General features: G+C 47.5%; 1 annotated feature.

Annotated features, from left to right (window-relative positions):
* Positions 4582 to 7390: an enhancer, noted in NCBI's record as "VISTA enhancer hs1613". NCBI's record gives its function as "enhancer in: limb[5/6]" and the evidence as "EXISTENCE:transgenic organism evidence [ECO:0001131][PMID:17130149]".

Here is a 13306-nt window from a genome sequence, read left to right as displayed (position 1 = left end):
AGCATTCGTGGTTGCCAGGGGTGATCGGAGAGAGAGAAGTAGGTCAATCACGGGGCATTTTTAGGGCAGAGAAGCTCTGGGTATGATCCTGTAATCGCGGGGTCAGGTCATTATGCAATTGTCCAAACTCATAGAATGTCCAACGCCAAGAGTGAGCCCTAATGTAAACTATGGACTTAATAATAATCCATTAATATTGGTTAATCACTTGTAACAAATGTACCACACGACGTTACTAGCAGTGGAAACTGTGTGCACATGGGAAAGAATGGAGACTCTCGGTACTTTCTGCTCAATTTCTGTAAGCCTAAAACTGCTCTAAAAATTCCATGACTTTAGAAAATAAGAAGACAGTCTGTGGACCCTGGAGCCACACACCCCAGTGCAAAGCCCTGCCTTCACCACCACGGGGGCCAGTTTTGTGTGTCAACTTGGTGAGGCTTCAGTCCCTGGTGATTCAATCCCACACCTCTGGGTGCTGCTGGGAGGGGATTTTGCAGATGTGAGTAAAGTCCATGATCAGTTGCCCCTCAGTAAGGGAGATTGCTCTAGATGACCTGGGTGGGCCTGAGTGGGTCAGCTGGGGGGCCTTGAGAACCAGACTGAGGCTTTGCTTACCCAAGGAAGGAGAAACCCACCTGTAGGCAGTAGCTCCCCTGCCCGCCCCTCGAAGTGAGCACCCTGCAGATGCTGGACCTGCCCAGCTGGCCCCACCACTGTGAAGCCTACCCTGGCAGTGAATCTCTTAATATGTGTCTTCCACTGATTCTGCATCTCTGCTAGGAACTTAACTGATTCAGCCACATAACAGCTGTGTGACCTAGGGCAAGTGATTTACCCTCCTTGCCTCAGTTTCTTTATCTGTAGAATGGGGTTAATAATAGTGCTCACCTCTGTGCTCTCTAGGACTTTAATACAGTCCTCTAGATGGGGACTGTATTAGTCCATTCTCACACTGCTAATAAAGACATACCCAAGATGGGATAATTTATAAAGAAAAGAGGTTTAATGGACTCATAGTTCCTCTTGGCTGGGGAGGCCTCACAGTGATGGCAGAAGGTGAAGGAAGAGCAAAGTCATGTCTTACGTGGCGGCAGGCAAGAAAGTGTGTGCAGGGCAACTCCCCTTATAAAACCATCAGATCTTGTGAGACTTATTTATTCACTATCACAAGAAGAACAGCACAGGAAACACTTGCCCCCATGATTGAATTACCTCCCAACAGTTCCCTCCCTTGACACATGGGGATTATTACAATTCGAGGTGAGATTTGGCTGAGGACACAGAGCCAAAGCATATCGGGGACGAAGTGAGTTACCACACGTCAGGCAGTGAGAATGGCTGGCACAGAGTGGGTGTAACTGTTTGGATTCCTGCTTTACCAAGGAAGAAACCGAGGCTAAGGAAAGGTGTGTAACTCACATCTTGGCACAGAAGTGGCAGAGTCGGCGTGGGATGCTGAGATCTGACGTGGCACCTGTGGCCTTAATCCAGCTCACACCACCTCCACTTGCAGGCAATACTGATGGCATTTGTAGCCAGAAGGGTCTCAAATGACATACATATTCAGTTCAAAGTCCATGTCCTGCAACAGAGGAAGCTGAGGCTCGGGAAAGTTGTCAGCTCATGAAATAGTCAGGACTTCCCTTTGGACCCTGGGACAGTAAGGTCAGGGTCACTGGGCTCCACAGGGCCAGGCAGGAGATGGAGCTGGAGGAGCCCAACTGTGGCTGGCCATGGCAGGCTGTGCCTGGTCAGCTACCCACTCGGCCCTGGGCAGGACCCCTGGCGCTCAGGTCCTCGCAGCTGGTGCACCTCGTCTTCCCTAGGACAGCGGGAGCTTCCCAGGGGCTTTTATTGGAGACAACAGAGGACCCAGCGGCTGCCGCTGTGCTTGGAGCAGCAGATTTTTCACATTCTTCCTTGACTTGGCACAGCCGGGACACTGTCCCCTAAAAAAATTAATAAATCTGGTATTTGAAATAAAAAAAAAATCACAGGCTTCCTCTCCTGGACTCATTTCCTGTGGTGTTTCCCTGGCCTAATCGAAACCTGACAGGCTGCCGTGTGGAGGAAGCCAGACGCCCCCACATCAGGGCAGAGTTCAGCGTGGAGAATGGTGTTTTTGTTCAGGGGAGTGGGAAGAGGTGACGGAGAGGGGGCTTCCCCCACTGACATCTAAAAGCATAGAGAAGGGCCAGGAGGCAAATGCCCTAGATGCAGTGTTGGACTCCACCCCTGAGGTGGCAGATAGTACCGGGGTGGCAGTGCCAAGAGATGGGCCATTTTGTGAGGGGTCCCTGTTCTCCTCCTCAGCTTGGAGGAACCATCAGAGCTCTTGGAGAGAAGTGACTGTTCCCCCAAAATACTCCTACCAGGACAGACAGCAGCAGATGAGCAAGCTGATTCAAGAAGCCCTCGTCACCCTCATGGGGCTGAATGGGAATAAGCCGATCATCAGCAAGGGAGCCAAGCTCAGAAAAGCCACTGCAGGTGTTCTGGAGGGGAGCAAGCATTTATGGAGGGCCACCCCTGCCCCCAAGAATGATGAAATTGGCCAACACCTTGTTGACCTCATCATAGCTAACCGGTGTCGAGCATTGGCTGTGCAGTGGGCATGGTGTTCAGCACTCTGCAGGCATCACCTCAGTTAATCCACAAAACAATCTTAGGAGGTAGAAGAAAGGATGGCTGCTGCCTGTTATGGAGGGAGGGCTTGGAAATATCACAGCCACAGGACCATGACGTGTCCAGGCCTACACTTTGAGCTAGGAGCTTGATGGTTAAAAGCAATAGTTGGTCACCGAGTGTTAACAGCATGACCCTTGAAGACTTGAACAAGTAATTTTCACTAGAGTCATAAATGGGCAGTGTGTGTATGAACAGGTGACCCAAATCATTACTCACCAGGGAAATCAACCTTAAAGCCACAGCGAGGTAACCACTACCTGCCCAGTATAATGATTGAAATTGAAGAGACTGGGAATGCCTTATTTTGGTGAGGGTGTGAGTTACTGGAGCTCACACCTGGCCTGTGGGGTGTGAACTGACCTGTGGGGTGTGAACTGGCATACTTTGGAGAACCATGTGATAAGAGCTATGGCTTCATCAGCTCTGTATCTCCAGTGCCTGGCGCTTAGTGGATGCTTAATATCTACTACAGCTCCACGTCCTCCTATCGTATGACCCAACGTATGCACCAACCACGTATGCAAGACAAGAATGTTCATAACTGCTTGGTTCATCATCACCCCAAGCCGGAAAACACCATTTGTCCATCCATGTCGAATGCATAAATAATTGAAACGTCTCCACGTAACGGACCACACTCACAGCAGTTACAAGGAATGGAGCACTGCCTCACACGATGTGGGTGAATCTCACATGCTAACGACGAGGGAAGGAATCTCACACACTAAACACAAGAGAACACACCGTATGTCCCTTCATATGAAGAGGGAGGGTGGGAAACACCCGTCTCTGGTGATGGAGATCAGGACAGTGGTGATCCTTGGGAGATGTTTGTTGGGAAGAGGTGCAAGAGGGCCTTCTAGGGTACTGGAAAACCCTCTATTTCATGTGGGTGGTAGTTACACCAGCCTGTACATATGTGAAAATTATTTATTGCTTTACACTTAATAGTTGTGTACTTTACTATATATTTAGAATGTTCCAACTAAAATTAGGGAAATGACACAGGTACTGCCCTCAACTGCGTTACAGCCTAGTTGGGGTGATTGGCACACTCTAGGGAGTTCAGATAAGGAATATGTCAATAGAAACTGGGATGGGACAGGCAGGTGCCATCAAAACCTAAGTTGGGAGACTCCAGAGTCACCTTTAGGCTGCTGTTGGTTCACGAGGGCATCTCTACCCTCATATACTATTTTCAAGGTACACGTCAATGTGTGTGCGTGTGTGTGGGTGTCTCTTTCTCTCCTTCCATCCCCTCTCTCTGTGTGTTGTGGGGCGGGGATTTGAGGTTTTATATACTTGCACCAATTGCAAAAAGTTTGAACTACCAATTTCATTGGCAGTGTTACCACCCGTGGTGTAAGTAGGCAAAGCAATTGTTCCATGGTCCTTGTTTTTCCTAAATACTCAAATCTACCATTAGATCTCTGACCATGTCAGTGTATATTTAGGCAGAGGGGAAAAAAAGGAACTTCCTACTGGCATGGGGCAGGTCTGTGGAGGCAGCCACGGGATGGCGCGGCCATGGCATTCACACTGCCCTTGTCACATATGGGGGCAGTGAGAGCCTTTGGAAAGGTCCTGAGCTTGTCGTTTCTCAGAAGTAACTCTTCCTGGCTAGCTCTCTCAGGCGTCCTTTGTAACATAACAAAACAAAATATGGCCATGAAGGAGGGCAGGTTGTGGGTTGATTATTGGCCAAACTTGGAATGATCCATCTTTCTTAATGGTTCAGAGCAAGTCAGATGAGAAATGGGAAGCTATGAAGTGTGGGGGAAGCAAATAAAGTAATAATGAGAAGATCACCTTTACTCTGTCTTTCAAAAGAAGTGTCAATTTATTTCAAAAGTAACATCAGTTCCCTTTGTACTAGATGTGTCAGCAGTACCTGTGAAACCTGCTGTGAGTAGACAGTACCGCTTGTAGAAGGCACGCACAGATGTCGGCTTGTGGATGGACATCATGTTAGTGAATGGACATTGTTTGAAAAGGTTGGAATCCATATGCATAATTCAGGGAATGTTTTAGACAAAGTTGGTTGTGCCTCGGGCGTACTTCTGCCTGAATTATGGTAACAATAAAATTAAATTTATTAATATGCATGACTCTGTTCAATGGAATGATAAAGCCCTTGAAAGCAATAACTATGGCTTAATCAGCTGTGTATCCCCAGTGACTGGCACCTGGTAGATGCTTAACAAATATTTATTGAAAAATTTAATAAGTGAGTGAGTGTGAGTGACTGAGTGTGCTCTTGGGAAAGCCAGCAGTTTCAAGATTTGGAAAATGAGGATAGTGAGGGCATTGCCTCATGGGGTTATTGTGAGAGCTGGGTGAGATTGTGCTTGTGCACCGTTTGAGGGGCAGGGTGATGATGATGGTGATGATGATGATGATGACAATGATACTGGAGAAAGAGAGTGGGAGGGAGAGAAACTGAGGCCAAAGAATTCACTTTGTTAATGTTCACTAATGAATCAATGTTAAGGTTGGAATTCAGATTCCAGCCCTAATTCTGGAGCTGTTTCTCTAGAAGCCTAAGACAAATGAGGGGCCACCGGCCTCCACAGTGGAACTCCATGTGAACTCACCCCAGTGGGCTGGGGTCAAACTCTGGGCAGTGGATTGGCTCATTAAACAAATGACCTAATTTAGTGCTTAAGACATCCAAAATTTACTAGGCTAATTTGTCAAGTCATCCAGAACAACCAAACCACAAATGGTAAGCCTCGTAGGTTTTAGTGGAATCATAGACGACATTCAGATCACCACTCAGTGAAAGGTTAAGTTAAAGTAGAAGCGACAATTTAGTCTTCAGAGCACTGCAGAGACTTTTATGGGCTGGTGTAAATCTCTTGGCCAACTCTTTCATCTTGTCCTTTCCATTTTTAGCACCTCTCAAGGAGAATGGTTTATGGAACTTGGGAGCAGGAAGCAGGAAGTAGGAAACAGGAAGTAGAAAGGTTCTCCTTTGGATGTGGTCACTGATAAGCACATGAAGTTACCCTTGGAGGGTAACAGTGACAGGGATTGTTCTATTTGCTGGCTCTCAATGGGGACTGAATGAACGAAGGGCATTTGTCGATGGGAACAAGATCCTTTAGCATGAAAAGGCTAGCTACAGAAACATAAAGAGGTGGAGGAAAGTGTGGTCACTATAGAAAGCTGTTACTTTCATTCACTCCTGGAATCAACACCTCTATAATTGCACCTCCTTCTGTAACTAAAGTGATGTTTGTCATTTTGCTGCAGAGGAAGGAGCCCTCACAGAGCTTGTGCATTTTGCTGGTTCAGGAAAGACAATGCAAGCAGTTATCCAAGGCCTTGTTCCTGGGGCTCTGTTATACCTCCCATCATCTGGACAGCTGTCTGTTTACATGGCGAGGGCTGCAAAGCTTCCAACTTAAAGATCCATCTGGTTCTTACATCAACCTAACCCGTAACCTTAAGGAGCAAGCCCAAACACGCCAGGGACATTTGAAAATTTAGGAACGAGCGTGTTTATATTGTATTTGCATTAATGCTTCCTAGAGTTTATTTTCAAAGTGAAGAAAGAACAATGCATAGTAGGCTATTAAACCCAAACATAATCAGTTTAAAGTTAGGGGCATGCTCCTAAGAATATTTTTCTCCTGTTTTGAAGGGTCCACTTGAGAAGGGAGTGGGGAGAAGGGGGTGCAGCGAGGAACCCAGGGCAGGGGAGGGGGTGGAGGGACTGTTCTGAATTCTCCTCAGGGTTTGGCCGGCCCCTGCGGGCCACTGCTGTTTGTCATATGGAATGGATTAGGCCTTCGCTCTCACACTGTCGACTTGGGTGTTCTGCACACAGGCTGTTTTTGCTGGGGTCTTGGTTTTGCTTTTTATAACGGCAGGAAGTGCCCCTCTAGGACCACATGTGAAATCGTGTGGGAACGGTTGGGAGGGGTGGGGGCCTGGAGAAGAGGTGAGTGGGGTGTGGGGATGGAAAACCTCATCTATGGCAGTGTGGGTGGAAGCCGGGGAGGGGAAGATGCTCACTGGCCAATTTAACTTTATGGGGTCTGGTTGGCAGGAGGACGGGGAGGTGGATGCTTCCTTGACGAAACCAGCCTGTCCCTAATAGATCTGCCCTCATATTTTACAATCCCGCACAGGATCGTGGAGGGACCATTAAAGCATGAGGGACTGCAGCTGCTGTTTAATTTGTTCTAAATTTCCTGCCGGCCTCACCAGACGTGTACAGGAAATGGGCGGTAAATGTTTAATAGGTCATACCTAACCAGACAATTAACGGGTGCTGTCATTTAGAAAATCCCAAACTGTGTGTGTGCATATTATGGGGTGGGACCCAACAGGGGACTCGACAGAATACAACTCTAGAGCGGTTTCAAGTGTTAGCCTGCCCGGCACAAGGATCTCACTGTTGCTAAGCTGGGCCTGCGTGTTTCTGCCGCCGCCTCCTATCCCTCCAAGAAGGCTGTCTCAGAGATTTCTGGGCCTGGTACTCAGAAAGCGAGCGGCACTTGTAGCCTCACTGGAGGCAGGAGCGTCCAATTCTCTAAGAAGGTGCCTCCCCACCTGCAGCTCTACTCACCCACCTGTCCTCTCAGTAGGTGAGGGGCAGGCAGGAAGCAGACAATGGCCAAGGGGCCTTCGATGGCAGAGGGCTCGTGGGACGGGGCAAGGAGCCAAACGGAGGCTGAAGCAGAGAGGGAAGGGTGCCTGTGTGTGGGGGTGTGTGTGTGTATGGGTGTTTGTGTGGTTATATGTGTGTTCGGGTGTGCATTTGTGTTTCTGTGTGTCTGTGTTTGTATGTGTGTTTGTGTGTGGGTGTGTTCGTGCATGTTTGTGTGTACGTGCGTTTGTGTATGTTTGTGTGTGTTTGCATGTATTTGTGTGTATGTGTGTGCAGTTGTGTGTGTGTGTTTTTGTGTGTATTTGTGTTTGTGTGTGCCTTTATGTGTTTGTGTGTGTATTCGTGTTTGTGTTTGTGTATGTGTGCATTTGTATATATGTGTGTTTGTGTGTGTATTTGTTTATGTGTGTTTGTATGTGTGTGCATTTATGTGTTTGTGTATTCGTTTCTGTGTGTTTGTATATGTGTGCATTTGTATATGTGTGCGTGTGTGTATGTGTTTGTGTTTGTATGTGTGTGCCTTTGTTTGTGAATGTGTATTGGTGTGTGTTTGTGTGTGCATTTGTGTGTGTGTGTTGTACCTGGGTGGGGGTGGGGCAGGGGTGTCTCAGCTCCCCCAGGTTTATCCTCCTGGTGGGTGCTGACAGTGTTTGTTCATTAGCCCCTTAATTTTGTCTAAGTGCTTTACCAGATTCATCCCTCCAGCCCTAGGAGTTCGGGGGTAGAATCATCTCCATTTTTACAGAAAACAAGGCACCAACCAGATAGGAACCCTGCCCATGGCCAGAGAACCAGCTGGTAGTAGAGCTGAGATTTTACCCAGAAATCTGACTCCCAACTGGCCTTGTGTTGGATTATTTTGCCCAAGGACAAGGAGACTCTGCCACCCAGCACTAACCTGTTATGATTTTGATTCAGTTTCTCTTGTGCTTTTCTGTGTGGAATACTTTTCTACAAAATCAATATTATGCTCTCTATAGTTTTTCAAACTTGCACTTCTAATTATTATTATATGGTGATTTCTTCCTGTTGTTCACATGCAAAAATATGGTTTTTTAATGGCAGCAAATACCTATGCCTAAGGATACACCCTCCATTATTCAGTTAATCCCTTCTTTTGACATTTAGGCTATTTCTAATATACTGAATTGCACATCCTGTTCATATCTCAGATGATGTCTCTGGTTATTTTAATACTTTTATATTGGAATAAAAGAAATATAAACGAAGTTCTCAAATCATTGGTGAGGATGCAGTAAGTGCAGAGAGGATGAGAGAAGAAGAGAATTGCCATCTTTTGGCTCATTTAAGAAGCAAATGGACTTCCAGCTGTGGCCGTGTGGGCTTGGAAGAAGGAGGATTGGGGCATAATCAGGTTCTCCCCTGGGCATTTCCATTGGTTGATTATCCAACAAGTAATCAAGAATATTCTCAGAAATGTAGACTGCACCAAATGGGGAAAGACTGGAAATGCACAGAAATGCTGAGGAAAAGAGAAACGCAAGACCAGGAGCCGTGGTGGGCGAGCCCATGTTAAGTGATGGCCCATTCATTCATTCATCCCTTCTGTTCAGTCATTCATCCCTTCTGTTCATTCATTCACCCCTTCTGTTCATTCATTCATCCCTTCTGTTCATGTGTCCAGTTGGCTCCTTCTGAGGGTCTGCTCATTCCTACAGAAAAAAGATGAGTGAGATCGAATCAGTTACTGCCCCCAGGGAGCCAGTTACCCAGCTCCTGGCTGCCCAAAGCTGGTCACTGAGCCAGCAGCAGTGATATCACCCAGTGCTTGTTAGAGATGCAGGATCTCAGGCCCGCCGAGACCCATGGGATCAGAATCTGCACTTTAACAAGATCTGGAGATTCATGATCTCAGACCCACCCAGACCCATGGGATCAGAACCTGCACTTTAACACAATCCAGGCATTCTCTCGCACAAGTGGAGCCTGAGTGCCAGCTGGAAGTTTTCACCCTGAGACCTCAAGTCAGATTTCTCTATCCCTTTTCTGCCTCCTACAAAACACAACACCAAGGAAGTGTGTGATAATGAGTGTGGCAGGATGACGGTATGGCTGTCCCTGAGTGAACTGGATCAGCATTGACTGCATCAGCATTGAGGGCAGGGCTATCCCCATCCAGCCTAACTTCTGGCTCACAAAAAGCCCCTTGATACGTGTATATTGAAATAAAATCAGCTGAGAGTGCAGCAGCCATATATTGTTCTTCCATGAAAGAACCCACGATGACCTTAGACCCAAGCAATTCTTTGCAACCCTCTTCAGACGTTGTGAGAACTCTAGATCCTTTGTGAGAACTCTAGATCCTCAGGCAGAGGTTTGTGATGCAGAGGACAGTTTCTTGTGAGGCTCTCAGATGATGGGGCTGACCTGACACGTCCACACCACCTCTGCATTCACTGCCAACCTTTGACAGTGAGAGATTGCCTTCGTGGCTCCTGGTTTGATGGGCTTTATAAAATTTAGGGCTGGAGGGAGGGTGGCTACTCGGGTTTTCCTGGGACATGGAACTTCCAGTGAGAAAACTAGGGAAGTTCAAGGCAAACAGGGATGTTGACCACCCTAGACAGAAGACGTCTGTGGAGCCCCAGGTTTAATGCTCCAGTCTTACAGCTGAAGGTGCTGAGGCCTGGACATGCCCGGTGACTTCTCCAGAGCTCTGCAGCTGGTTAGAGGGTAAATTAAAGTGTCCCCCGGCTCTCCCACCCGCCACAGCATCAAGCCTTGACAATCCCGTGCAAACGTCCGGATGGAAATTGCTGCAACGGCTACCAGACGACCCTCAGCTGCCATCCTCCCTGATATTACCTGCATGAAGTTCAAGGCTAATGGAGTTCAAAAGATGATTTAAAAACAACATCTAAAAAGTCTTCTAATAGTCCATGACTAATGGGCTGGGCTTGGCTGTCTAATAAATTGTCTACGGAGCATTTACAGTGACGATCCTCAGACGCCCTTATCAGCACTTGAGGCTCGTGTAAACCAACTCTCATTAATAACAGGATGAAAACAGAGACACTGCGCAGGCCTCCCGCCTGCTGTCCGCATCACGCTTTGAAGTCCAGCTGCTAATAGCAGTGTCGACTACTTACGTAAAGTCGGGTGGCAGGTTATACAGACATGTCCGATTTCAAACAATCGATGTCAGCTGTCATTTCTGCCAGGAGACTTCTCCTTTTCCTGGTCATGGCAGAGCGGGCCGTGTGGGGATGGCTTACAGTTTAGAGGCTCAGTGACGTCCCTACCTCAGATATTCTAATACTGTACAGCAGAGGGTGTGCCTGGTGGGTTGGGAACCGAATCAGTCCATAGATGTGTTTAAATTTTAAAAACTCATCTCACAGCACTTAAAAAGTCCTTCAGGAGCAATTGAAACAGGCTTTACAGCAAGCTGAAAAGGCTCAGCATCAACTTAACTATTTCCTACATCAAGAGAAGTTAGTTAAAAGTGAGGGGAAGACCGAGACAGCAATGGAAGTGGTTAATAGTCAAACAAAAGTGAAAGGTCACGATTCAACAAATATACCATTGGAGAAAGGAACAAGAAAATCACTGGTTTCAGATTCAGGTGGACAAAGGACAAATGATACAATCCAAGGATATCCACAGATCTCTGCCCAAAGTGGGAGACCAATTGAGAAAAGATCCTAATAGAGTTTCTGAAATACTTTGGAAAAGTCTCCCAAACCTTCAGAGAGTGGATGGGAGCGAAGTAAGGAGACCCCACCTGAGCAGATACATGGTATTGCTTACAATAAAGTATATTTTTGCTCTTAAAAAATAATAAACCCTAGATCTCCAGCTTTTCTTGATAAATCAGAAGATCTGGCTGAAGCTGGGCCTTCTGCCTAGCAGACACTGGCTGGAGGTGGGCAGTGGGCATCCCCTTTGGACAAAGCTGTGCTTTCCAGTGTGCCACAGTCCCCACCACACCCAGTTACCTCACATCTGGTGCACTTCATTTATTTAAACCACAGGCCTGGCTTCTGTAGATGTTTGAATCTGGGAGTCTGTGTGGCAGTCTCTCATTTTACTCTTCACATATCCTCAAGGGGAGAAAAGAGACTGAAGTGAGTTCTAATTTTTAGTCTTATAATAAATTTCTAAATTTATCCTCAAGGCCTCCAAATGGACTCACAAAGGAAAGATCATGAGGTGAGAAGCTGCTAGAAACTTGGAAACGTGGAAGAAGTGGAATACTGAAGAAGTCCAATGTTCTGGATTTGCATCTGGGCTCTGCTGCTGACACTGTGTTCCCTTGGGAGGACCTGGCACACTTTACTCTGCTGGTGCTCACGCTGGTGGGACACCGAGCACCACGTGATGCTGGCCCATGTGACGCTGGCCCACGTGATGTCTGATGTCTTGCGTGTGTGAGCACGAGCAGGACAGAGTGATTCCAAGATTTCTGCAATATCCAACTTCTCCTTCTATGACACTTGGAGAGCTCTGTCCTCCACTTCCCTCCCAGAGTGGGGAAACTCGAGCCAAAAGAAAGCAATGAAAGAAAAACCCACATGGGGGTCCCACGTCTGGTGAAGCCCTATCCCCTCCACTCAACAAGGATTACCTGAAGACCTCCTATGAGCCCGGCACTGAGAGGTTACAAGAGCCTGTATGGTCACAGCCTTTAGAAAAGGAGCCCTTATTTTGGGAACAAAATAAGGGCTCAGAACAACCCTCTGAACCTGTCTAGGCCTGGGTTTGCTGGTTTGGAATAGGCAGCATCTGAGGGGTCTTCTCTTTCTGACACCCCCCGAGACTCTGCAGTCCTTAGAGAAGACTGCCCCCTCTGTCTAGGGGGCCTGAGGAGGCTTCTCTGACTATAAAACAGAGGTGTGTCCCACAGCCTTGGAATGCGACTTGGAGAGTTCAGCCTGAAGTGTGGGTTGTGGGGAGAGCTGGAGCGGGGAAGGTGGGATGTTCTCACTGGGAGTTTAATTCCAGATTCCTCACCTCCTGGCTGGGTGATCCAGGCAAGGTTTTCACCTGTCTGGTTTCTGGTTTCTTTGTCTGTTGGATGAGGGTAGTGATACTCATCTTATAAGAGCTGTTATGGAAACACATAGAGTCATGGACATGATAGACTTGGCCCAGTGTCGGCCCTTATAAAATGTTATCTCCATAGTAAATAAAATGTTTCTACCTAAAAAAATCTAACATATTCCCAGAGATACCTGTGTGCTGGGTGGTCACATAACAGCCAAACCAGGAAAACCCAGCACAAATCCTGCAGTTGTGGTTGTTGATGGGAAGAGACATGGCTCACAGACATCGTATCAGCCTTCAGCTTAGAAACCAGACAGCTTAGAATAACCTGGTCACCGCCACTCAACACAGAATAACCCTGTCCCCTCCACTGAACACAGAGCAACTCTGTCTCCTCCACTTAACATACAGCAACCCTGCCCCTCCACTCAACATACAGCAACCCTGTTCCCTCCAGTCAACATACAGCAACTGTGTCCCCCGCACTCAACATAGAGCAACCCTGTTTCCTCCAGTCAATGAGGATTACCTGAAGACCTCCTATGAGCCGAGCACTGAGTGGTTAGAAGTGGTCTCCCGTGTGCTCAGGCAGAAGAGACAGAATTGGTGCACATCTAGCACGTTCTTGCATTGCTATAAAGAACTACCTGAGACTGGGTAATTTATAAAGGAAAGAGGTTTAGTTGGCTCACAGTTCCATAGGCTGTACAGGAAGCATGGCTGGGGAGGCCTCAGGAATCTTACGATCATGGTGGAAGGTGAAGAGGAAGGAGGCACGTCTCACATGGCAGGACCCGGAGGAAGGGAGAGATAGGGAAGGTGCCACACACTTTTAAACAACCAGATCTCGTGAGAACTCACTCACTTTCACAAGAACAGCAAGGGGGAGATCTGCCTCCACGATCCAATCACCTCCCACCAGGTCCCTCCTCCAACGCTGGGGATGACAATTCGACATGGGATTTTAATGGGACCCAGAGCCAAACCATA

This window comes from Homo sapiens, chromosome 16, assembly GCF_000001405.40.
Source record: "Homo sapiens chromosome 16, GRCh38.p14 Primary Assembly".
In the NCBI taxonomy this organism is placed as follows: Eukaryota; Metazoa; Chordata; class Mammalia; order Primates; family Hominidae; genus Homo; species Homo sapiens.
This window is presented reverse-complemented; position numbering and strand designations above follow the sequence as displayed.